The 27,272-nt window shown below is 43.7% G+C and overlaps 2 pseudogenes, besides 1 other annotated feature; both read right to left on the bottom strand.

The window, feature by feature from the left end:
* Positions 268-1,220, bottom strand: RPS2P6 (ribosomal protein S2 pseudogene 6; annotated as a pseudogene).
* Positions 970-1,139: an enhancer, noted in NCBI's record as "experimental_49413 CRE fragment used in MPRA reporter constructs". NCBI's record gives its function as "activates a minimal promoter by MPRAs in K562 erythroleukemia cells, with activity observed for the introgressed 18:68097612 variant allele {active_cell/tissue: K562}" and the evidence as "EXISTENCE:reporter gene assay evidence [ECO:0000049][PMID:34662402]".
* Positions 18,943-19,375, bottom strand: LARP7P3 (LARP7 pseudogene 3; annotated as a pseudogene).

Here is a 27,272-nt window from a genome sequence, read left to right as displayed (position 1 = left end):
GAATTCCTGGGCTTCAGTTTAATCCAATGTTGAATGCCAGACCCTCCAAGGTGACACTTCCTCTTTCATCATGTGGACTTTTCATCCTTAAATCTTCTTCTAGCGTGTTGCTGTGTAATCCTCCTTGACTGAATAAACAGTTAGGACTGTATTTCTCAACTCAGGGAGAATTCCTATTGCCTCATGTCTGGATTTGTCAGAAGTCTCACCCAGCCTATTATAATCAATCTTTATTTTAGAAGCTGTTCTTTTTTCTTTTTTTCCCCCACAGGCTTAATTCACTTTATTTTTTGTGTATAAAACCCTGTGTTGTAGCCACAGCTGGAGCCTGGGTCCTCTGCACGGAGACTCTGGGTCGGCCTTGACCAGGTGTGGTCAGTGAATTCCTGATAGGAAGACTTGGTGAATACAGGCTCCTTCCAAAGGTCGGGGGGTCAGGTAGCTGTAGGTCTTAGAGCTGTAAGGTCAAAGATGGCCTTGGCGCAGTTGCCCAGGGTGGCAGTGCAGCCCCTGGCTGAGGTGTAGCAGACATCCATACCAGCCATCATGAGCAGCTTCTTGGGCACAGGCGCCGAGACGGTGCCAGTGCCCCTGGGCGTGGGGATGAAGCCGACCAGCACAGAGCCGCAGTGGCCTGTCACCTTGCAAGGGACGGTGTGGGGCTTGCCGATCTTGTTCCCCCAGTAGCCTCTGCGCACGGGGACAATGGAGAGCTTGGCCAGGATAATGGCCCCGCGGATGGCAGTGGCCACCTCTTTGGAGCACTTAACACGCAGACCGACGTGGCAATTATAGTCCCCGATGGCAACAAATGCCTTGAACCTGGTGCGCTGGCCGGCGCGGGTCTGCTTCTGCACCGGCATAATCTTCAAAACCTCGTCCTTGAGAGAGGCCCCCAGGAAAAAGCCAATGATCTCAGATTCCTTGATGGGCAGGGAGAAGAGATAGGTCTCCTCCAGGGACTTGATCTTCATGTCCTTGACCAGGAGGCCCAGCTTGGTAATGGGTGTCCACCCCTTATCCTTGGCCTTGACTCCGCGAGCTCCGCAGCCTCGGCCCTGGCCCGGTCCACGGCCAGATCCACGGCCGCGACCCCGGCCCGCATGCCACTGCGGAAACCTCAGCGGAAACCACCGCAGTTCCCCATCCCAGGGTCCCCCGGGGCTTCCGGCCCCCGCTGCACCGGCGTTATCCGCCATTTGGTGTTTTCTCAGAGAAGACGTAGAAGCTGTTCTTGTTCGTCATCACTACGTAACATCCTTTGTTTTAGAAGCTTTTCTATGTTCCTCATCGCTACGTAACTTCCTTTGTTTTAGAAGCTCTTCTATGTTCCTCATCACTAGGTAACTTCCTTTGTTTTAGAAGCTCTGCTATGTTCCTCATCACTATGTAACTTGTTTGTTTTAGAAGCTGTTCTAGGTTCGTCATCACGACGTAACATCCTTCGTTTCCTGTTCTTAATGGCTTTCAGAGAAAACCCGAAGTCAGAAGCACGCCGGCATCCACTTGCGGCCGCCCTGCCTGAATATGACATGGATGGGTGTGACCAACGTAGAGTCTTCAGGAGGCTCGGTTTGGTAACTTAGGCATAGTTAATACATCCACATCATTTTTCTAAATTCTATGTTCTTTCGTCTCTTTCTTCACATTTATTCATCTAAAAATGGAGGGAGAGGTTCAAAATTTTTTTAAAAAACACACAAGAATAGTGAGCCTTCTTCATTTGGAATTCATCCCAGTGTTAAATGAAAGAATATTGTGCAAATTTCCAGGAAAATGTCAATGATGACTGGCTAAATTGGAACAAATATCGAAAGACTCCAAAATGTTTACATCCCAGCTGGAGGCAAGTGTTTCATTCCCAGTCAGGGACGGGACAAAGTGAGACTGCAGCAGCGGAACAGGCGCAGCCGGGGTTCCAGCCCTCAGCATCACCACGGTGCATTTGTCCCTGAGGACACCAGGAGTTGTGACAAATCCTGTTCCTTTGCTTTTAGAGGTTTTGTTGTAGAAGCCATCCCCATTTTGACCACTCCAATAATACTGTAAGCAGAGTTCAAAAGCTGAAGCGGGTACACTGTGCCTCCAGGTTATGTTTGTGGATGATACCCTATCAGGGTCTGAATGTCGTCTGACAGTTGCATCATTTCCCTGGAAGAACACGTGTAGACAGGCCAGCCAGTGGCCCTCCCTGTACAGCAGTGGCTGTGGCAGTCAGTGTTGAGTGTGGAACTAGGACTGTGTGATCACCTCCCGGTACTTCCCTTTCCTTATCTTTTTTTTTTTTTTTTTTTTTTTTTTTTTTTTTTAGACAGTCTCGCTCTGTCGCCCAGGCTGGAGTGCAGTGGTGTGATCTCGGCTCACTGCAACCTCCACCTCCCGGGTTCAGGCGATTCTCCTGCCCAGCCTCCTGAGTAGCTGGGATTACAGGCACCCGCCACCATACCTGGTTAATTTTGTTTTGTGTTTTTAATAGAGACGGGGTTTCACCACGTTGGCCAGGCTGGTCTCAAACTCCTGATGTCAGGTGATCCGCCCGCCTCGGCCTCCCAAAGTGCTGGGATTACAGGCGTGAGCCACTGCGCTGGGCCTAATTTTTTGTATTTTTAGTAGAGACAGGGTTTCGCCATGTTGGCCAGGCTGGTCCTTATCTTAACATAAAGAATGATAAGGACTTCCTCACAGACTGTTGAGAGAATTAAATAAGTCAACACACATATAGTACTTAGAGGAGTGTGCAGTAAATATTAGTTTAATGATGTGAATACACACACAGGCATACTTGATAAAGCCTAGTGAATATTTGATCTGTCAGTAACAAAATATTCAAAAGACAGCAATGAAGATCAGCAGTTTCTTTTATAATTCAGGAACTAGATAGCCACAAGCAATACAGTTTCACTTTGACTTTCAGACACCACTGAAACACCTGTGCTAGTATTCAGGCTAAAGCTCTTGAAGAGGGTAAAATATTTTCTCCATCTACCTACCTCTGGCCACAAGCACTTATGTGAATTGGAACTCAGGAAATGGTCAAAATCGATGTACTCACCCCTATTTATATGAGTGTTGATTTAAATAAATTATTGAGATAATTTAACGCATTGATTGTTCAGATTAGAATTAAACAGAGTGACCTTTGAAAATTTCATCTCATGATTACTCTTCATGGTACCTACCATCAACTCTTTTCTTAACCATTGCTCAATACTTAATCCGCACTCCTAGTCCTACCTTCTAGCTTGAAGTTATCATTAAACTAAATAACAGCCTTTAAATGAAAAGCAGGATGATACAGTCTCATTATCTAAATACATAAATCATTTGGTTTTAATGCCACCAAAATCCATCACCACAGTAGCAGTGCCTTTCCCTTGTAACATGGACATTGTTTCTAGGTACTTGTTCTTCTAAGTCAGAAATGCTCTTCCATTATTACATACTTCATCTGTGACAACCATTTCTGAATTCAGGTTTTGTTTGTTTGTTTGTTTTTTGGAGACAAGGTCTTGCTCTGTCACCCAGGCTGGAGTGCAATGGTATGATCTCAGCTCACTGCAGCCTGGACCTCCTGGGCTCAAGCAGTCTGCCCACTTCAGCCTCTTGAGTAGCTGGGACAACAGGTGTGCACCACCATGCCAGGCTAATTTTTTTTTTTTTTTGTAGACGTGAGGTTTCAGCATGTTACCCAGGCTGGTCTTGAACTCCTGGGCTCAAAAAATCCACCTGTCCCAGCCTCCCAGAGGGCTGGGATTGCAGGCGTGAGCCACTGCACCTGGCTGAATTCTTGTTCCTAGTGGCTTTGGGTCCTAAGAAACTTCTGTTTGTTTGTTTGTTTGCTTGTTTAGAGACAGGGTCTCATTCTGTGACCCAGGCTGGAGTGCAGTGGCTCAATCACAGCTCAATCTAACCTAGAACTCCTTGGCTCAAGTTATCCTCCTACCTTGGCCTCCCAAAGTGCTGGAATTATAGGCGTGAGCCACCACACCTGGCCCTTAGAAACTTCGTAAACTATTCATTTGGGTGAACCTAGAAACACCTTAGTAGATCCATTAATTCATTTATTCAACCAACATTTGCTGAGCCCCTGCTCTGCTTTGAGCTCTCCTCTAGGAAGTATGGCAATGCACGCAGGGGCAAGTCTGCATTCTCCCATGTGAGTGAGGGCTTCACCGTCTCAGGTTGAGGTGGAAATGCAAGGGGCTGCGGACAGGAAGAAGCAGATAAAGGAAGGGGACCTGCTTTGCTGGCTGCAGGTACACAGTCAGCAGCTCTGACATGGGAGCTCTCCGTCAAGACATCATCGCAGAAGAGATGATTCTTCCTGCGTCTGGGACAACAGCATATACAGTCTCTACCAGATGGCACGGACAGTTTATGGAGGTGGATGTGTAAAGAAAACATCCTCCTCACCACTCACACCCCTCCCCTCACAAGCCTCAAAGCAGCTCAGAGCGTTCTGCAAAGAGGAGGCTCTGGTAGTGCCGCAAGCCCTTGCCTCCTGTTTACATGGCAGCGACTGTCACTCTTTTCCCCAGAAGAAATTTTGCTGTACTCTTCGAAAAGCAAATTAGGAAAGCATTCCCGCTGGCAAATTGAATGTGTCTTCCTGCCATTGCCAGCAGTGCCAGGGAAAAAGAATTGGGGAAGAAAATCAGGGTTTTTCCCCACAACCTCACCTATGCTTGAGTGTTGGTATCCACCTAGAAAGAAGAGTGAGTTTAGTGCTCAGTAACAGTCATGTTTTACCCAGAGCTGGTGGGCAAAGGCCTAGATGTCTGGCCTGCTTTGTCTAATTCTAGAGCTGAGGCTAGAGGAAAAGGCCCTTTCTCTGCGTCTTAGTATCTTCCTCCAACCCAAGATGACAATAAAACACACTTACTTATTTACATAGTTTGGATCTGCCCAAATCTCATGTTGAATAGTAATCCCCAGTGTTGGAGGTGGGGCCTAATGGGAGGTGATTGGATCATGGGGGTGAATTTCTTCCTTGCTGTTCTCCTGATAGTGAGTTCCACCTCAAAAGGGAGCTACCTAGTAAAACTGTCTTGCTGCCTATCAGGGTCTTTGAACGCATTCAGTGTTGAGGAGCAGTGTGACCATGTCAAATTTTGTGGCAAGAAAGTCCCTCCCTGTGAAAGACCATCCACCTGGCCTGACAGCAAAGCTGCCATGAATTTTCAAAAGCCAGTCCAGCTGACAGCCGGGAGGAATGCATGAGTCTCTAGCAGCCCAGAAAGGTAATGGAAAACAGGTCTTTGAAAATGACACATTTTACATTAGAAAGGCATTGGTATATACTAATGTTTTAATTCTTCAACACGTGATGCCACAGTCTCTGGATGTCTTCTGGAAAGACCTCTGTCACTCATACGCATGGTCATGGCCAGAGGAAATTAACCAGAGGGTAATGAGCAATTCCTACTGCTACAAAGAGGGCACCACTCATTGCCTACCAGACCCTCATCCAAGTGCTTTCATTAATTCATCTCATCCTCCAGTCCACCCTATGACGTCAGTACTTTGTAATCATCCTCATTTTCCGGTAAGGTGACTGAGGCTCAAGGTTAATGTCAACCGGAGATACTTACACCTGGAACATGAAGGGAGAGAGAAACAGAAATAAATAGAGATCTGAAGATAACAGAAAAGCAAGGAAATACCAGTAACTAGTGTCATATTACCTCCCTGCCAACTGAAGGGAAGTCCATTCGGATGATTAAAACATCTTAGGTATTCAATAGCTTATTTCTAGATAAATTATTTTTTATTTTAAAATACAAATAGAAACATAAAATAGACTAAAAACATGGTAATTAGTAAAGGTTCTTGTAACTGCCTTTGGATGTGTGAATTTGGTGAGGCTACAGGCTCCAGTGTTTCAGTCAAACCCTACTCTAGGGGTTGCTGGGAAGGTATTTTGTAGATGTCAGTCAATTCCGTAGTCAGTTGACTTTATTTGTTAAGGGAGATTATCCGAGATAATCTGGGGCAGCCCGATTCTGTCAGTTGAAGGATCTTAAAAGCAGAAATGAGGCTTCTCTGAAGAAATTCTGCCAGTGCATAGCAACTCCAGCCCCTTCTGGAGACTGCCCTGCAAATTTCAGACTAGCCTATCCAGCCCCATGGTTACATATCCAATTCCCTGCAATAAGCCTCTTAATATCTGTCTTCTACTGGTTCTGCTTCTCTGGTTGAACCCTGATACAGTTGTTAAAATGTTATTGTAATTAATGTATAAGGATGAATTAGTAGTATATTGTGCTGGTATAAAAGCTAGTACATTTAAGTGGTTTTAAATTTTTCCCTGTGTTCCCATTTACCTATGAACTTACACTGTCTCAGAGGAAGGACTCAGAAAATCATCTTGGTAAGCCCAAGTAAACTCTAAATGTAAATTCCATCTGAACAAATTATGAATGAGTGGAGTCTTAATAAAGTTGCAGAATGTTAAATGAGAGAGGAGAGAGTGAAAGATGCACCTTCTCTTTGATTTAAAGCATGTATTCACACACACACACACACACACACACATTTTAGAAGAGACCTACATGATTCCCATGTTTTCATTTATTCTAACAGCATTCACTGAATGCCAATGACATCCTGAACACCTTTCAGCTTTATGACTATATTAATCCTTTCTTGCACTGCTATAAAGAAATAGCTGAGACTGGGTGATTTATAAAGAAAAGAGGTTTAATTGGCTCACAGTTCTGCAGACTCTAGGAAGCAGTGTCTTCTGCCTCTGGGGAAGCCTCAGAAAACTTACAATCATGGCGGAAGGCAAAGGGGGAGCAAGCATTTCGCATGGTGGGGCAGGAGGGAGAGAGAGGGAGGGGAGGTGCCACACACTTTTAAATGACCAGATCTCACCGGAACGCACTCACTCTCAGGAGAACAGCACCAAAGGGGAAATTCACACCCATAAGTCAATCACCTCCCATTAGGCCCAGCCTCCAACATTGGGGATTACAAGTAAACATGAGATTAGGGTGGGGACACAGATCCAAACCAAATCAATGACTCTGCGTGTCATTCAACACCTCCACATCTCAGGTTCCTTCTCTGTAAAATAGGGTTACAAATTGTGCCAGCCTTGTAGGACCACAGTGATTGTTAAGTTAGTTAAGGTTTCCAAAGTGCTTAGAATAGTCTCACATGTGGTATGCAACATCTATTTTGTGGGCTGGGGAAGCTGGCAAGGACTTCACAGAGGAGGAGATGCTAGAAAGACTTGGATTGGGGAGGGAGCACGAGGTACTATCCTGAATCATGGGCAAACCGGTTGAGCGAAGCTTGGAGGCAGGAAGGAAGAAAGCTTGTGATAGTAACCCTAATTAAACCAGCCTGCCTGCCGTGAATGGTTCTTACTAGAATCCCCAGGAGAGAAGGTGAGGGCCAGATTTTGAACAAAGCAAAGCCTGGATTCTACCTCTAAACCACATATTCAAGTTAATCTTAAAAATGACAGTTCATGTTTTTCAAAAGGATTTTATGGTTAAACAAGTTTGGAAAACAGGGTTAAATAAAGACTAACAGGTTTCTTTCAAGCAGGATTTCCCCCAATGACCTTAATCTGCTAACACACTGCCAGAGGGGACCCACAGGCAGCAGTTCCCAAAATAGAGGACAGAATCCTCTGGCTTCAGAGCATCTCCCAGGAAAACTGTTCCGAGGTGCACACTCCTGCAAATGAAGCTTGTATTATCTATATTTTCTGCATTCTTGATGCTCTGGCATCTGGGGCCTTGCTGACAGGGGACAGACTGCCTCTCTGGGGGCTTGACAATTCTTAGAGATAGCAAACAACTCACCTGGGAGCCCATCCTTCATATGGAAACTAACAATCCAGAGCCAACACCCACCACATCTTCCACCTGGCACACATACCCCGGAGACAATGTTCATCTGCGCTCATCATCCAAGAGCCAGGTACCGGACAACTAGGGACAGCCTCTCTAGCCCAGAACCCACTGAAATTATTCAGGCTTACCAATCCTAAGCCTGCCTAGCCTTGCCTTTCCTGTGGAAGCCACAATAAAACTTCCTGCCCACACTCTGCCCCACCTCTCTCCTGCCTCCCGACACACCCTGGTGCTTCCTCGTGGGGCCCAGCAGGACACTTGCCCCCTCCTCTTGGGAACTGTTAGTAACAAACTGTCTTTTCCATACCAATCATCTCCCAACCTGTTGGCCTTACCATAGCTCAGTAACAATAAAACTACAATTTAAAATACTGGTGTTGGCAAGAAAGGACTTTCAAAGACGTTTAAGCAAAAGAGTAACATCATTATGTTTTAGAAATATTCATCTCACACATCCTCTCTATACTACATTTTGAATTCTCAGAGCATTGTTAGAGCCCCAGGAAGCCCAATACCAAACTGAAATGTTAATGGAGAGACACAGAGGGGTCTGGGAAGCCTGAACCCCCACATATATGGGAGAAGTCCTGCTAAATGTGATGAGACTTTGGGAGTACAGCATGTCTGAAAGAGGGCTGTCCCGTTAACCCACCTTGGATACCCTGTAGCCAGCTGTAGTTTCTCCACTGTGTTTAGGTGATTCTAGAGGTCAGAGGTCATCAGAACTTGTGATTCACCTGCAGCTTTGCAAATGGAGGTACCCCAAGGACTTGCAAGACAAATCCTACCTCTGAGCACTTCATTGCCTCATTTTTCTTATCAGCAATCTAAGGAGGTTGAGGTTGACTCACTTTGTAAAATACCTTCTGGCTCTGAAATTCTGTGATTCCTATTTTCTCTACAGAGCTACTAATTCCAGCAAATTTTATAATCCTATAAAAATCACTCTAAGTCACAAATATCAGGATTGCTGTAAAACTTTTCTATGTCCTTTTGTTCTTTTCTATGTGATGCCAGTTCTCCAAAGGGCACTTCTCTTTTGTGAGTTACAATTACCCCTACTATTTATTGTGAGCCAATTAAAATAAATACTGTACTTTGGAAAAGGAAATGTACTTTTTTTCCTACACCCATGCCAACCTTCATTCCACACCTTGCCCCATCATTTAATCAACTGTGATTTTTATCTACAGTTGGAAAAGACATCAGGGAATTAATGACTCACCGCCCAACCAGAGCTCTTTTAGGTCAAGAGGGCACAGGCTGCGGCCCCCCCTCCTCCCCCATGCAAAAGAGCACTTGGCAGAACCCTGAATGGGAACTGCAGTGAAAAAAAATAAGGAAATGAATCACTGGGCTTGACCAAGACTTACTAGCTCTGTCTCCAAATGAAGAAACAATGACAAAACTGCTGGTTGTCTGATAAACAAATTAGAGCCAAGAGTGGGAGACAGAAAGATTTTAGCTGTTATCTTCTAAAGGGAGAAGTTTGCAACCTGCTGGAAGGTGCTTCTCTGGACTTCCATGAAAACCAGCTGTCTGTCATTTGATCTCTGTGTGGATCTCAGGTTTCTCATATATAAAATGTCAGTTTGGAGACAAATGGTATTTCAAATTAAATGTCTTCTTTAGTCATTAAATGTGGAGCTCGATACTGAATCCTTTGACCATGCTCTTTTTTCAATACAGAAGATAGATGCCCAGGTATTACCGGATTGTAACAAAGCTACCAAAGAAGTATGATCATTGCTTAAAGAAATATTTGTGCAAAGCGGGGAAAATAGCCTTACAGTCAGGAGCATTAATCCCACCTAAGCCAGCCAAAATTAGAATGCTTGACAGCACAATTTGAAGGAGAAGGAAATGAGCAAAGAAGATGACGACTGACATTTAGGTTGGCCAGTGGGTTATTAGTCATAATAAAGAAAGGCAAAAACAATAATAAAGTAGAAAAGATTTGCCCCATTAGTCAGCAGTGTAAAGAAGCAGGTGTAAATGATAGCACTGAACATTGGAAGATGTGGACCATGCCGGAGAAATTGTCCCTGCGGAAGCATTCAACTGTTGTAGTCAAACAATGTTGTAATTATTCTTACACTCTTGTAGGCCCATCACTATATATATTTATTCAATATTTATTTATTGAACATCTACTTATATATAACTACCTTAATCACTTTAGTACCTATGGAGACGAATAATTTCTGCATTTAAGAACTTTTCTGGCTAGGCATGGTGGCTCATGCCTGTAATCTCAGCACTTTGGGGGGCTAAGGTGGATCGCCTGAGGTCAGGAGTTCAAGACCAGCCTGGCCAACATGGAGAAACCCCGTCTCTACGAAAAATACAAAAATTAACTGGGCGTGGTGGCGGGCACCTGTAATCCCAGCTACTCGGGAGGCTAAGGCAGAAGAATTGCTTGAACATGGGAGGCAGAGGTTGCAGTGAGCCGAGGTCATGCCACTGCACTCCAGCCTGGGTGAAAGAGTGAGACTCTGTCTCAAAAGAAAAAAAAAAGAACTTTTCTGTTACGTAAGGGCAACAGCTAATGATAACCCACTATAAGTACTATTGCACTGATAAATAAAAAGAACAATGAGCAAAAATATTCTTACCAAAAATCTTATGCTCAAGGTGAGATTAAAGCTTGCTTCAAAGAACGGATAAGATTTTAACAGGCATGTTGAGAGGAAAACTATTCTAGGAAGATTAAACAGAAAGAGCAAAGGTATTCCTTAAAATGGTTTACAAAACCCTTCCAAAGTTGACCCCACCACTCACAGTGCCTCATTGTCTGTAATCCCAGCACTTTGGGAGGCTAAGGTGGGAGGACTGCTTGAGCCTGGGAGGTCGAGGCTACAGTGAGCCATAATCTCACCACTGTACTTCAGCCTGGGTGGCAGAACAAGAATCTGTCTCAGACACACAAAAAAAGCTGATCCCCACTTAAATTTCCTGCTTATAATTCTCCCCACTCACCAAACTTCCTGCATCCTCCTATTTGTCATGTTTTCTGAAACCTCAGGACCAGAAACAGTTTTTTCCTAAACTTCTATACCTAGAAAACTCCTGATTTCCACTAGAATAGAAAGTAATTATTTCAGGCTTTGAAGACTATGCGGTCTGACTCACAACTATTCAATTTTGCTGTTATGCTGTGAAAATAGCCATGAACAATATTTAAATGAATGAGCAGGCCGTGTTGCAATATAACTTTATTTACAAAAACAGGAAGAGGATTGGATTTGGCCCACAGGTCATAGTTTGCTAACCCCTGCTATGGTGCAACATCACTCTCTCCTGGAAGGGAATGATGTTTTTAGTCCCAAGAAATATATGGAATGCAACTGTCTCATGTACTATTGGTTGTTTAATTGAAATTCAAATTTAACTGAGCGTCCTGTGTTCTATCTGGCAATCCTAATAAATGTCCATCAGAACTTCCTGTCTTCATAACAGCAATGCCAAAAATCCTAAGCGCTCAATTTCTGGTAAAACGTGTGTCTCTCGCTTTTCTCCAGCGGACGTTTCCCCCATCCCTTCATCTTCAATTCCCATTCCCCCAGACTCTCTCCCCTCTACAAGTTTGTTAATTGTTTTTAGAGAATGAGAAAGTAATTTTCATTTCTTTAATGAGTGTTTAAAGAATTAAGGAACGTTTGTCATGGCAGATACAGAAAATAACAGTCTCAAGATTCTCTCATTCCCTGGGTTTTATACCGTTGTATTAATCTAAAAGCTACCCATTTCATCATCTCCTTTTAATTCTCCCTGATGATTCAGGAGCTGTACTGCCTGTGGTTGGATTTGCTGCGATAACTTATCTCCATAGGACAGGAATTTATGAACTGGTTGCATTTAGATTGGAGCTGTTTTCAAGAGTCTCCTGAGCTGACCTTTTAGAGTAAACCTCTAATCTCCAATGCAGAATTAAAGACTCTGCTTCTTATGAAAGAAATCACAGGCACCAGCTACTCTTGAAGAATGTTTTCTTGTTGTGGGAGGTGGGGAGTGGGGCAGGAGTTAGCAACTGAGTGGAGAGGAATCTTAGAACCCGCGGGCTCTGCCGGCCGCAGCTGTCTCGGCACCTTTTTTCTCAGTCACTGGGGTCACAGCTCTTTCCTCTGTGTCCTCCTCTTCTTCAGGTAACTCACCCTCTGCCCTCCTAGCTGTTCACACTAACATACACCATTTATATTCTAAGGGAGCATTAGTGTGTGTTTTTAATGATTAACTGCTCTAACACAGGTGCCTTCTGGCCGCTTCCACCCAAAACCTCCTTCAGCTGAGACCCTGCGAAGTCTTTCTGCCCCTCCTATGGTCGGGGTCATAGCAGTGACAATATGGCTCTGGTGTGGGAGGTGGCAGGGGAGACTTAGGGTCAACCCTGCTCTAAATCACTGTCATCTTCAACTGCAGAATATAACTAATACTGAAACCCACAGACCACAGAGAAGAAACACCCACACTTCCAACTCAGATTATAAAGCACAAACCCTTCTGTCTCATCTCCCACGTGCCTCCCGCCTCACCTATCCATAAGCTGCCCTTCATGCTGCTGGAAGAATATTCTTTCTGAAACATCAATGCTCACCTGTCTCTCCTGTGCCCAGGACCAGCCCTGGTATCTAGGGGCTGCAGGGCAGAATCCAGGCTTGCCTTCACAGTCTCCTCCTTTGGGCATCTCTACTATCCCAGCCTCGTTCTTCAGTGCAATCCACAGTCAGCTTCACACGGCTGTGCGATCCTCAAGCGTGAGTGTGTTTTCTGTGCCACTCACTCTTTCATCCATTCAGTCAACAGATATTAACTGAATATCTGACTTAAGCCAGGCGCAGTGAAACACACTGGGGATAAACTGGTGGAATGAACTTACAGTCCATTGACGGATGAAGAGAACTGAACAGGGTCAGACAGAGTGATGAGAGCCCAGGGAGCACATAGGAGGAACAATTCAGAGAGGGAAGGACGTTCTGGATTTTTCTTTGCCACATCAGGCAACTCTGTGTGTGTGTGTGTGTGTGTGTGTGTGTGTGTGTGTGTGTGTGTGTAACTCTATACTTGTAATGTGGAGTCATCCCAGCAAAGATGCCTGACTGAGGTCTCCCTATTTTTATTTGTGTCCTCTTGTGTTCCTTACTTTATCACTGCCATTTTGCCTATTACCATTAAATTGTTTTACAAAGAACAATACACCTATTCTCCAGATTAACCCCCAAAACAAATTTAAATACATTGCACCTAGCCAGCTGCAAAATCCCTATTTCTACTTGGGTCTGGGAATTATAGTATCCACCAATAACAGTACAAACAGATCGCTGACATTTGTACTACAGATGGTAATTTGACACATTTATTGCTCTCAGACCAAAGATATTCCTGGAGGAATTAATTTTAATTTCTTTCTAGCTATTTTTTTATTACCAATAGACAATTACTTAGATAGCATCTTGAGTAAACGCACCCCTTGTATCCTAAGCATCCTTTTTAGCCAACTCAATGGATGAGCAAACACATTGCCTCCTCTGATAAGTGTGTTGCCTTTAGATCCCAGCATCACGATCCATCTCTCAGACCTGCAGGAAATGAGATGCTATCACGTCAAGTATTTGCTTTATTTGTCTGGGGAAAATTAGCTCTTCAATTTCAAGCTTAAGGGTCCTGGGCAGAGTCGTGTTCTAGAAAGATATGTTGCACTGTGTTGCATTGAACCTGAATCCGTAATCTCAGAGGAAGGTGGGGCCAGCAGAGTCTCCAGAACTCAGCTCAGGCAACAGCTCCACGGTAGCAGGACAGCAGGTGTCACCTCTGACATCTCGCGAGCCTCCGCTCCATGGGACTTTCATCGATGAATTGACCAATAACATTTTTTCCAGTAAAATAAAATCATTTTAATGAAATAACAAAATAAAATTGGGGAAGGTTTTTGAGATTATTTTCTTTAACCAGTATTCCAATACTTTCATATACTGTATAATTTTAATGTTCTCTTAATTGTCTTTTTTTAGTAGTATTATTATTTTAGTTTTTTTGTTTTGTTTTGTTTTGTTTGAGATGGAACCTCACTCTGTCGCCCAGGCTAGAGTGCAGTGGCATGATCTCGGCTCACTGCAACCTCCGCCTCGCGGGTTCAAGCGATTCTCCTGCCTTAGCCTCCCAAGTAGCTGGGATTACAGGTGCATGCCACCACACCCAGCTAATTTTTGTATTTTTAGTAGAAACGGGGTTTCACCATGTTGGCCAGGCTGGTCTCGAACTCCTGACCTCAGGTGTTCCACCCACCTCAGGCTCCTGAAGTGCTGGGATTACAGGCATAAACCACTGTGCCCAGCCCAAAGCCACCACGCCTGGCCCTGTTATCTTAATTTTCAAAAATAAAACACTCCCAGAGACTTAAGGATATTTAAAAAGTTTTGAAGATAAATTCTAACTGCGGCTACATCCGGAGGGAGAGATTATGGGATTAGTTCTACTTTTTTATTTTCTATATTTTGTATGTTTGAATTTCTTTCAGAGATAATATACTTTCTCATAGTACACATACATTTTTTGCAACCAGAAAAAGTAATTTTCGCAGGTTGCAAACTTCCAATTCCTGTTCTATGTAAAGCAAGCTCTCAGTGAATGTGCATCACATATATTTTTGCCTACACCGTGATGCCATGCGCTGATAAATGCTTCATAAATATTAGTCGAATCAAATACTCAAGAAGGAAGCAGCATGTGCCTGTCACCAGGAGCATCGTGTGTAGGGTAGGTCTGGCCGTCATTGTCTGATCATCATTGCATAGCTGAACGCAGCTAAAACAAATGAAAGTGAAGAGAGGAGAAACTACAGTATTGGAGTCTCCGAGGGCTGTGCCGAGCCTCCGCCCCTCACATCCCACAGCCCAGCACTAACTAGGTCACACTGGAAGGCTGTGCCTGAGAGTGCCTTCTGGTGTTTGTTTCTTTCTTTTGTTTTATCTTATTTTTTTTTAGACAGGCTCTTGCTTTGCTGCCCAGGCTGGAGTACAGTAGCGTGATCATAGCTCACTGCAGGCTTGACCTCCTGGGTTCAAGTAATCCTCCTGCCTCAGCCTCCCAAGTAGCTGGGACTACAGGCCACACCATTGCACCTGCCAATTTTTTTTTTTTTTTTTTTTTTTTTTGGTAGAGATAGGTCTTACTACGTTGCCTGGGCTGAACTCCCGGCCTCAAGCAATACTCCCGCGTCAGCCTCCCAAAGTGCTGGGATCACAGATGTGAGCCATCTGGCCTGGCCTGGTTGTTCTCCTTTAAATCCGCCTCGGCCTAAGCCCTTGCCTTTCTCACTGCTACCGCCCTGTACAGCCCTGTCTCCCTCCCCGTTCCCTGATCACCTGGCAGCCCTGATTATAAAACACGCTTCTACCCTTGCTTCACTGTCACCATCACTGTCACTGTCACACCTGGAGTGGAATGAAGCACCACTTCAAATACCACCACCACCATCACCTCCTGCTCCCCATCGCCCAGGATGAGACCCGCCTCCTGCGGGGTGTGGTTACCTGGGCAGGAGCTTCGCCAGCCTGAGTCACCCTCTAGGGAGAGGCTCACCTCCTCAGCCTGACTGCTTTGTTGAAGAGTTTGCTGAAGACCTAAGCAGGGAAAAATAACAAAATGAAGCTGAGTTGTTACCCTGATGCTTTCAGCTTTCTATTTTATAAGTACTCTGAATACAGACTAATAAGTATTCTAGTAACAGGTGTACTTTTTCTGCTCAATGTTTATTATTCTGCTTGACTTGATTAGGCAACTCATTAAATGTATTAAAATTTGAAAGTAAAGTGAAAATAATTTTATTTTGGGGTGCTCTAAGTTCTGCTACATCACTTCTTAACCTTGAAATTAGCTAATTTAGAATTGGTTGCTGATTTTTAAATGTATTTATCATGATTGTCTTTACATGTGACTTAGAAACATGACTTTGTTTTCATATATGTAAACTTTATAGCAATAGCTTTCATTAATCCTTTCATTAATTTCACCCACATACTTTGCAACGCTGAATACTGGATTGATCTCTGGCTGTTTTGCAAATAAAAATATGCACATAAATACACAAAACAAGACATATGAACTAAAAACTTTTAAATGGTATTTTCAGAAGATAATATTTTTCTATTTCAATTCCTTTTTGACTAGATTTTAATTAGCATTCCAAGAGCTCATGAGGCATGTCTACTAATGTTTCAGTGTTTTGAAGAAAATCCTGTTTATGCGGGCACGGTGGCTCACACCTGTAATCCCAGCACTTTGGGAGGCCAGGACGGGTGGATGACCTGAGGTGAGGAGTTCAAGACCAGCCTGGGCAACATGGTGAAACCCTGTGTCTACTAAAAATACAAAAATTAGCTGGGCACAGTGGCACGTGCCTGTAATGCCAGCTACTTGGGAGGCTGAGGCACGAGAATCACTTGAGCCCAGGAGGCTGAGGTTGCAGTGAACCGATATTGCGCCATTGCACTCCAGCCTGGGAGACAGAGCAAGACTCCATCTCAAAAAAAAAAAAAAAAAAAAACTGTTTATACTATGGTAGGTACAAAACCATTCTGCCCCCTAAACTTCTCTTTTTTTCTAGTTAGACCAACTTGTATTGCTCACATCTGCTGAAAACCAATATAATATTCTTTGCATATTTGAAAAGCCACTTTCATTCATATACTTTAGTTCACATATTTATGAGAAGCAATGTGTTAATGAATGAGTTAAAGTTTTAAGTAGTTTGGTGTCTTTAAATGAGGGATTTGTGAATGTTTCAATATCTTGACTGAAACAAATGCCATTTTTCAGTTAATCTAAGATATATACTTGGCAGCTAACATACCATCTTAATTGAATTTGGAAACAACTCGTTTTTTCTAATAAACTTTTTTTTCCCACACACACACACAAAGCCTGCAGAGCACTAGCAAGTGTGCTATTTTTATTCAAAGCCTGGGCACAAAATGAAGCTAAACCTGATTAGGAAATGATGTCAAGAGATAAAAGAAGTGCAGGATTTGCTCTCTGGCAACTCCAAGGAAAAAAAGTTCTTGCAGCCCTTTAGTTGTCTAGGAGAGCAGCACTGAAAGGCTCAGTCAGTGACGCCTATTGAATATTTCTGTGGGAGAAATCAACCACTGCAGGCTGGGCAGCAGCGACCTTTGCACCCCTAACACCAATGCGAGGCACCCCTGACACCAACACGAGTGCAATCCATCCTGCCCCGATGGCAGGGGCTCAGTCTAGACGGATGGAAGAGATGCCAAGCAGAGGATGGGAGGAAACTCACATCAGCATCCATAGACTCTGGAAAGTTCCTTGGTTCCCACATATCTGAGGCAATCTGCTGCCAAATCTAGAACAACCAGGGACCGTGGTGAATAACTCAAGACCCTGATGGAGTTTGGGTAGAAAACACCAGAGACAACCCTGAGTTCCTAGAGCTCTTGAGAAAAAGGAATGATCATTACTGCTTTACCAATAGAATTTTATAGGCTCCAGAGACCCCAACCTTACCTTTCAGGGACAAGCTCCCATTTTCTCGACTTTACATGAAAACATGTTGAAGACCTAGTCCACATGTATGTCTTTAGGTGGTGGCTTAAAGTTTTTTAGAATTGGAGCCTAAAGCTAAGAGGAGGGTTAAAGGGTTGTGAGTTGAAGGCTAGGAGGATGATCCTGAAACACTGAGTTGGAGCCCAAGTGGCTGTCCATTCAAAAGGTGGCCCTGGTCAATGGCTGGCCTGAAAAGCCAGGATGTGCTGTGTGACCAGGGCCTTAGGTATGCGAGTCTGGGGACACCCTTTGTCAAATCCAGGGAGAACATGAAGAATGAAGAAAATGTGTCCACTTCTTTTTTTCTTCTCCCAACTAATGATTGCAGCTCTGATTGACCAAGAAGACAGGAATTCCTTGTTACCCCATCTGTATTTGTTCATGTCCCAGTGAATGTAAGTGTGGGAGCTTGGACAAAGCCTCCACTTTCTGCTCCTTTTACCGTTTTTTTTTTGTTTTTTGTTTTTTGTTTTTTTGAGATGGACTCTTGCTCTGTCACCCCAGGCTGGAGTGCAGTGGCATGATCTCAGCTCACTTAGCCCGCCTCCCGGGTTCAAGTGATTCTCCTGCCTCAGCCTCCTGAGTAGCTGGGATTACAGTCATGCACTACCACACCCAGCTAATTTTATTTTTAGTAGAGAAGGGGGTTCACCATATTGGCCAAGCTGGTCTCGAACTCCTGACCTCAAGAGATCCACCCATCTCGGCCTCCCAAAGTGCTGGGATTGCAGGCATGAGCCACTATGCCGGGCCTCCTTTTACCATTTTACTGGCGTCAACTCCTTCATCTTCACCAGTCACTCCTGTTTACTAAACCCTGCGCTTTGAAAAAACAGATACATTTTATGACCTTTGAATGAAACTTGTTTGTATGCAAAATTCTCCCTTTGCCTCTTGTTTAGAAGTATAAACCAAGCTTACTGGTAAGCCAAGCTTATTACTGATATTATCATAGGCTTAAAACTGGCTCTAAAGGAATATCTGTCTGTGCGTTCTTTTGTTTGTTTGATTTTAATGTTCAAAACACATTGATTTACTAAATCACTTTCAATTGACTTATATAAGACAATTTCAACAAATAAAACGTATAGTGAAAAATTATAGTATACAATGGACCTGTCTCTAGAAAAAAAAATAAGTCTTAATTATCAGTTGAGGAACAAAAGTATTCCTTTTAGTTAAATGTAGGTTTTAGAAAAATATTTCTTGGCCAGGTACGGTGGCTCATGCCTGTAATCTAAGCACTTTGGGAGGCCGAGGCGGGTGGATTACCTGAGGTCAGGAGTTCGAGACCAGCCTGGCCAACATGGTGAAACCCCCTTGCTACTAAAAAACACAAAAATTAGCCAGGCATGGTGGTGGGGGCCTGTAATCCCAGCTACTTGGGAGGCTGAGACAGGAGAATTGCTTGAACCCGGGAGGCGGAGGTTGCAGTGAGCCAAGATCGTGCCATTGCACTCTAGACTGGGTGACAAGAGCAAAACTCCATCTCAAAAAAAAAAAAGAGAGACAGAAACATTTCTTATGCAGTCCTGCCACAACAAAAGTGAATTTCCTAAGAAAAGTTTGAGTATCCAGTGAAATATTAACAAGTGAACTGTAATTGTTTTTAGTCATATTCAGAAAATCTAATGTGTTTACTTGCTTGTTGAGTCTTTGCCAGTCTAATCTTTTTGGCTTTGGTGATTAACTTTCAGTGCCTTTTGGCAAGCTTTTCCTGAGGCTGATCAAGTCGGGCCTGTCTATCAGCTGAAATCTCCCGGTGATGCCTGTTCTGACCACCAGAAAGGACCTTGAGTTTCAAGCAGTGTTTCTGTTTAATTTCTGCGTGTGCATTTATTACTGCTTGAACATTCTCAGGAGTTTTAAACCTAGCATGGCATTCTGTATCTCCTTCTAGAAATCAACATAAACAACTTCTGGGATCACTGCCAAGTATTCTGTACAAAATCACTCCTGACTTAAAATTCGTGTAAAAATCGTTCAACTTTTTGCAACTCATGAAAACGTTTCATCAAACCTACATAAAGCTTAAGTTCCTAAACAGTTCAAGAGCTCTCACTTTCTCTGTGTGTGTTTTAAGGCAATCAGAAGAAATATCTGAAAGAAGAGTTGCAGCCAGTCTTTTGCTCAGGAGACCCTCCCAGGGAGGGATGCCGCAGCCCATGGTCTTGAGAAGCCTGCACGCAGGGCAGCATGTCCGAGGATGGGTGGCCCTTCCTCCTGTTTCCAGACTAAACTATCTGCTTTTTTCCTTCACATTCCTCCATTAACTTAACCTTCTTCCCTCTTCAATACTGGAAAGCCCAAGGTCTCCAGGTGCTGGATATCCAGGCATCATTTTTGTCTTCTTGTCCCTTTCCTCCCCTTCAAGCCCAGCAATTACAATGCCAGGCTCCAGGAAACAGCCCTGGGTCCTAGGAAGAAGAAAGAGAAAGATGCTGGATTGCTGATCCTCCCAGCACCATGAGTGCCTTAGTCTATTCTGGCTGCTATAACAAAACACCACAGACTGGTGGCTGGACATCCATTTTCACACAGATCTGGAAGCTGGAAGTCCCAGATCAAGGTGCCAGGGCTGGTTTCTGGTGAGGCCTCTTTTTGTGGTTTGCAGACAGCTGCCTTCTTACTTCCGTCCTCATAGGGCCTTTCCTCTGAGCTTGCACAGAGGGAGGGTGGAAGCGGGAGAGAGAGAAAGAGAGAGATGGGGAGAGCATGAGAGTACACCAGAGGGTGCAAGCAGGCTCTCTGGTAGTCTTTTTTTTTTTTTTTGAGATGGAGTCTGTTGCCCAGGCTGGAGTGCAGTGGCACTATCTCAGCTCACCTCCAGGGTTCAAGCGATTCTCCTGCCTCAGCCTCCCGAGTAGCTGGGATTACAGGTGCGCACCACCACGCCTGGCTATTTTTTGTATTTTTGGTAGAGATGGGGTTTTGCCATGTTGGCCAGACTGGTCTCGAACTCCTGACCTCAGGTGATCCACCAGCCTCAGCCTCCCAAAGTGTTAGGATTACAGGCATGAGCCACCTCACCTGGCCTTTTTTTCTTCTCTTAAGGAGAGTGGTCCTATCAGATTAGGGTCCCACCCTTATGACTTAATGTGACCTTAATTGCCTCCCTAAAAATCCTATCTCCAAATACAGTCACATTAAGAGTTAGAGGTTGAGGCGGGGCCCGGTGGCTCATGCCTGTAATCTCAGCACTTTGGGAGGCCGAGGCGGGCAGATCACGAGGTCAGGAGATCGAGACCATCCTGGCTAACAGAGTGAAACCCCGTCTCTACTAAAAATACAAAAGAAGTTAGCCAGGCGTGGTGGCGGGCACCTGTAGTCCCAGATACTCAGGAGGCTGAGGCAGGAGAATGGCGTGAACCCAGTAGGTGGAGCTTGCAGTGAGCCGAGATCTTGCCACTGCACTCCAGCTGGGCAACAGAGCGAGACTCCATCTCAAAAACAACAACAACAACAACAAAAGAGTTAGAGATTGAATATATGAATTCGGGGGAACAGAAACATTCCACCCCTAACAGTGAGCGAACTGGAGAGGTTCTGGGCAAGGCACCACGGGTTCAGGAGTCAGATTCTTGAAACTTTCACTTTAACACGCAATGACTACAATGAGGAGGATGCTGAGGGCAATGATGATGGTCATGGTGAAAATTCACAGATATTAGCTAAGCAACAAAATTGAGAGGAAAAAATTACAGCTTTGATCTCGCCATGTGAAATTAAAACCAGTATTAAGAATAGTCATTTACTTAAAGTTGTAGTGCAATTTGAAAAGGAAGAGTATAAAGTACCCTCACCCAGTTAAACCACGCTATTATTATTACTCTTGATTGTACTTTTTAAGTCGCATGGCATCACTTGATGGATTGAAAAAAATATTGAAAGAATTAACTGCTTAAAAGAGGAACTGTGAGCAAAGGAAGCTGGGGGAAAAATGAGACAGTGGAATGTGGTAGTGTTCATTCACGCACTGCTTACATGGAGGGAATATGGCCAATGAAGCCTTACATTTCATTCGTTCATTTCATAATTATTTATTGATTGTCTGTTGGTGCTTGATTAATTAGGCAAATGAAATCAGGCTAGCAAGATGGCTGTCTGCACCCTGGGGCAAGGATGGGATGAGGCAGGATTGGAGGCAGGATGGAGAGTGAGAGCGTTCTGTTGCAATCCTGGTCAGAAATAATGGTAGCCTGGACTGCAGTGTTGCCCGATGACTGACAGAGAAATAAGCAAATGCAAGGGGGAGATATTTGGGAGTTAGAATCAGTTTCCTGTGGAAAGATTATTCTTACAATCAAGAAGAGAAACTTGAGCTGTCTACATTCTCTTCAGATCAAGGTGATAATAATGGTAGTTAATAACACATACTTTGCACTTCAGGACAAGGGGTGTCAGCAATGAAGGAGTTAGGAATGTGTGTTCAAATCCTAGCTCTCCCTCACTAGCTATGTGACCCTGAAGGAGTTCTGAACCTCTCTGTGCCTGTTTCCTCAAGAGTCTTGTAAGGATTAAAGGAGTCAACATATCCCCTTGACTTCATGCACTTTTGTGTCTAGTCATCTAGCACATTCTTTCTCTGACCTGAAGACCCACTAACAAGGTGGGAATGAAGAACAAAGTAGGAACTCAAGCAACTCATAGCAATAATACCACCTCCTTAAAAAATAGGCAGAGGTCCTGAATAGACATTTTTCTTTTTCTTTTCTTTCTTTTTTTTTTTTTTTTTCAGACAGAGTCTGGCTCTGTCGCCCAGGCTGGAGTGCAGTGGCGCAATCTCAGCTCACTGCAAGCTCCTCCTCCCGGGTTCACGCCATTCTCCTGCCTCAGCCTCCCCAGTAGCTGGGACAACACGTGCATGCTACCACGCCCAGCTAATTTTTTGTATTTTTAGTAGAGATGGGGTTTCATTGTGTTAGCCAGGATGGTCTAGATCTCCTGACCTCATGATCCGCCCACCTCAGCCTCCCAAAGTGCTGGGATTACAGGCGTGAGCCACCATGCCGGGCGGAATAGACATTTTTCAAAGGAAGACATAGAAATGACCAACAGATGTATGAAAAATGCTCAATCTCACTAATCATCAGAGAAATCCAAATTAGAACCACAATGAGATACCATCTCACACCTGTAAGAAGGGCCATTACTTGAAAATCAAAAGATAAATGTTGGCAAGGATGCGGAGAAAGGGGAACTCCTGTACACTGTTAATGGGAATGTAAATTAGCATAGCCATTATGGAAAACAGTATGGAAGCTCATTAAAAAATTAGAATTAAAATCAGAGCTACCATCTGATCCAGCAATCCCACTACTGGGAGTACATCCATATCAGTCTGTCATAGAGATGTCTGCACCCCCAAGTTCACTACAGCACTATTCACAATAGCTAAGACATGGAATCAACCTAAGTGTCCAAAAACAGAGGAATGGATTATTTATTTATTTATTTAGAGAGAGCGTTTTGCTCTTGTCACCCAGGCTGGAGTGCAATGGCACAATCTCATCTCACTGCAACCTCTGCCTCCCGAGTTCAAGCAATTCTCCTGCCTCAGCCTCCCAAGTAGCTGGGATTACAGGCGCATGCCACCACACCCAGCTAATTTTTGTATTTTTAGTACAGACGGGGTTTTGCCGTGTTGGCCAGGCTGGTCTCGAACCCCTGACCTCAGGTGATCTGCCTGCCTCAGCCTCCCAAAGTGCTGGGATTACGGTCGTGAGCCACCGCGCCTGGCCGAGAATAGATTTTAATGTTTTCATCACAAAAAATAAGTATGTAAGTAAACTATATCTTAATTAGCTCAATTTAATCATTCTACAATGTGTACATATTTCAAAACGTGTGTACTATAAATATATAATTTTAATTTGCCAATTAAAAAATAAATTAATGCATTAAAAAAAGAAGCAAGGATATCAGTAGTATAAATATTACTAAAATTGTCCTGGAGTTATTAACCAATGAAAGTAGGCAAGTGAATGAAATATAAAATATAAAAATTTTAAATAAATTACATTCAAAATTATCTTCCGATGATGGGCTTGTATACAAATAAAACCTAGAGAACTGACAGAACTGACTAAGAATTATCACAAGCAATAAGAAAAGACATAGAATTAATTTTTTTAAAAGTCATTTACCCGCAAGTAAACAACACCAAGTTAAAAAAGATGATGGGCCAGGCGAGGTGGCTCACACCTGTAATCCCAGCACTTTGGGAGGCTGAGGTGGGCAGATCACTTGAGGTCAGGAGTTCGAGACCAGCCTGACCAGCGTGGTGAAACCCCGTCTCTACTAAAAACACAAAAATTAGCCAGGTGTGGTGGCGCACGACTGTAATCCCAGTTACTCGGGAGGCTAAGGCAGGAGAATCACTTGAACCTGGGAGGCGGAGGTTGCAGTGAGCTGAGATAGTGCCACTGCATTCTAGCCTGGGCAACAGAGTGAGACTCTGTCTCCAAAAAAAAAAAAAGATGATGGAAGAAGAGACTCACTTCTGCAACAGCAGCAAAAAAAGATGAAAGATCTAGTGATAAACCTAACAAGATATATACAAGGCCTATTCTTTTTTAAAATTTAAATGTGCCAGTTGTGGTGGCTTACCCCTGTAATCCCAACACTTTGGGAGGCCGAGGCGGGTGGATCACGTGAGGTCAGGAGTTTGAGACCAACCTGACCAACATGGTGAAACCCTGTCTCCACTAAAAGTACAAAATTACCCAGGTGTGGTGGTGCATGCCTGTAATCCCAGCTACTCGGGAGGCTGAGGCAGGAGAATCACTTGATCTGAGAGCCAGAGTTGCAGTGAGCCGAGATCACACCATTGCACTCCAGCCTGGGTGACAGGAGCAAAACTCAGTCTCAAATAAAATAAAATAAAATAAAATAAAAATAAAACAAATTTAAATGCTACTGAGGGACTGTGATAAAAACTGCCATTTGTTCCTCATGTCCCATCAAAGGGTATAAAGTTTCAGATAGAAAGGAAGAATAGGTTTTGAGATCTATTGGACAATACACTGATTATAGTCAATAATAATGTATTATCTATTTCAAAATACCTAAGAGAGTACATTTCAAATGTCTCACTGTAAGAAAAAAAATCAGTAATCAAGGTGATGGATATGTGAATTGGTTTGATTTAATCATGCCACATCGAATACATATATCAGAACAACACATTGTACCCTAGAAATGCATATAATAATGATTTGTCAGTTAGAAAACTGTAATGCAGCTCCTATGTTTTAGCTGGGTGTATAGACAACCAGAATTAAAACTGCTTTGCAAGCTTGCTTGTAGGTAAGTATGACCTTTAGGCTAAATGCTAGAGCACAGGGTTTAAGTAAAAGTGGAAAGTACTAAGGCTAGGAGAGGGCCTTAAAGACAGGAGGTAGGCCCCCTCCACTCTCTTCCTCCAGGCTGAGCATATGAAGGTGGAGCTGGAATAGCCATCCTGCCTGTAACGTAGACGCTGTGCTGAGGATGCTGGAGTAACAAAATGGAAAAATCTGGGTCTCTAAGGATGGTATGGAGCAACCATGGAGCCCTAGACAAACCTACATTCATGGGAAAGTGGCTCTTGTTTAGGATTTGTTAGTTGGTGCTTTCAATCAGTCACAGCTGAACTTAATTTTGATCCAGAGCCCCAATAAAAGACTTGAAATCAAGACAAGCTGACTCAGCTGTGTCCTTCTAAAATTACTCCTTTTTAGTTTGCTGATTTCACACCAATTATCAACTCCCATCCCTCCATCTCCCCATTTCTCACAAGAATATTTATTTCTATTTTTATTCTATTGTCTTTGAAAACATTTAAAAACAAATAACAATTTCTTAACTCATCTTCATGACTCAAGAATCCATCTTCCATATTGCTCTAAATTATCTTCCTAGATTAAAAATTTGACCCTAAGGCTGGGCGCGGCAGCTCACGCTTGTAATCCCAACACTTTGGGAGGCCAAAGCGGGCAGATGACGAGGTCAGGAGATCGACAGGATCCTGGCTAACACGGCGAAACCCCGTCTCTACTAAAAATACAAAAAAATTAGCTGGGCGTGGTGGCACGCGGCTGCAGTTCCAGCTACTCGGGATGGTGAGGCAGGAGAATGGCTTGAACCTGGGAGGCGGAGGTTGCAGTGAGCCGAGATCACGCCACCGCACTCCAGCCTGGGCAACAGAGTGAGAATTCTGTCTCAAATAAAATAAAATAAAATAAAAAATTTGATCCAGCCAGTCTTGTGTCTGAGATTATTCATCAGTGTTCCACCATTTACAAACTTCTTAAATCCTTCATCACCCAGCCCTTGGCTTTGTCTTCCACTTTCCCTCCCAATCTACCTATATGACCTCCCCGAGATTTCATCCAAATAGAATCCCTGATGGCCAGGCATGGCGGTTTACACATGTAATCCCAGTTCTTTGGGAGGCCAAGGCAGTCAGATCACTTGAGGCCAGGAGTTCGAGATCAGCCTGAGCAACATGGCGAAACCCTGTCTCTACTTTAAAAAAAAAAAAATAGGCATGATGGTGCACACCTGTAATCCTAGGTATGTTGGGAGGCTGAGGCATCAGAATTGCTTGAACCCAAGAGGTGGAGGTTGCAATTAGCTGAGATTGAGCCACTGCACTCCAGCCTAGGTGACAGAGCAAGACTCTGTCTCAAAAAAAAGAGAATCCTTTCCCAGTGCACCGGGCTCTTCATGCCTCTGTGGCTTTGCACACAGTTTTCTCTGCCCCATGCCTGCTCTGCTCTGAGTCACTCACGTATGCATTGCTCTCAGCTCATGCTAGTAACACTTCTAGGAGAATCTAGGAGAAGCCCTCCCATGTCTCTCTCTGCCCGCCCTAAACTGAGCAGATGACCCTCCTTCATAGTTCATTTCTGGATTTCCTTACTACCCTGCTGTAATTCCCAAATACAGTAGTCTCACCTTATCCATGGCTCTGCTTCCCTCAGTTTCAGTTACTTGCAGTCAACCCTGGTCCAAAAACAGGTGATATAGTACAATGAGATATTTTGGAAACACATTAACATAACTTTTATTACAGCATATTGTTATAATTGTTCTATTTTACTTTTATTTATTGTTAATCCTTTACTGTGTCTAATTTATAAATTAAACTTTTTCATAAGTATGTAATGTATGTGTAGGAGAAAACATAGTATATATGTGTTTGGGTACTATCCACAGTTGCAGGCATTCACTGGGGGTCTTGGAACGTCTCCCTCGAGAATAGAGGGGAACTATTATATCCCAAACATTGGTTTTTCATCCCTCTGCCCCATTAGAACATAAACTCCTTGAGAACAAAGACTGGACCTTGTTCATATTTGTATTTCAATAATAGAAACAATTGGGGTGACATAGTCAACTTTTAAAACAATTATTGAGCTAATTAATCAATCTCTAGAGCAGTTATTTTCATACCTGAGAATTCACAGGCCAATGTAGAGTACTGCTGTTCTCTATACCTAGTGTGGGAAATACTACCTTCAAGTTACATAGCATCACTTTAAATGATCAGTGAGCATTAGTTCAATTGTTTAAAAATACAAACACAAAAAGGCTGGGCGCGGTGGTTCACGCCTGTAATCCCAGCAATTTGGGAAGCCGAGGCGGGGGCGGATCATGAGGTCAGAAGTTCGAGACCAGCCTGACCAACGTGGTGAAACCCCGCCTCTACTAAAAATACAAAAATTAGCTGGGCATGGTGGTGCATGACTGTAATCCCAGCTCCTCGGGAAACTAAGGCAGGAGAATCGCTTGAACGCGGGAGGCAGAGGTTGCAGTGAGCCGAGATCACACCACTGCACTCCAGCCTGGGCAACAGAG

The sequence above is a fragment of the Homo sapiens genome, chromosome 18 (assembly GCF_000001405.40).
Source record: "Homo sapiens chromosome 18, GRCh38.p14 Primary Assembly".
Taxonomy (NCBI): domain Eukaryota; kingdom Metazoa; phylum Chordata; class Mammalia; order Primates; family Hominidae; genus Homo; species Homo sapiens.
Note: the sequence above shows the minus strand (reverse complement) of the source record. Positions and strands in the feature narration are given on the sequence as shown.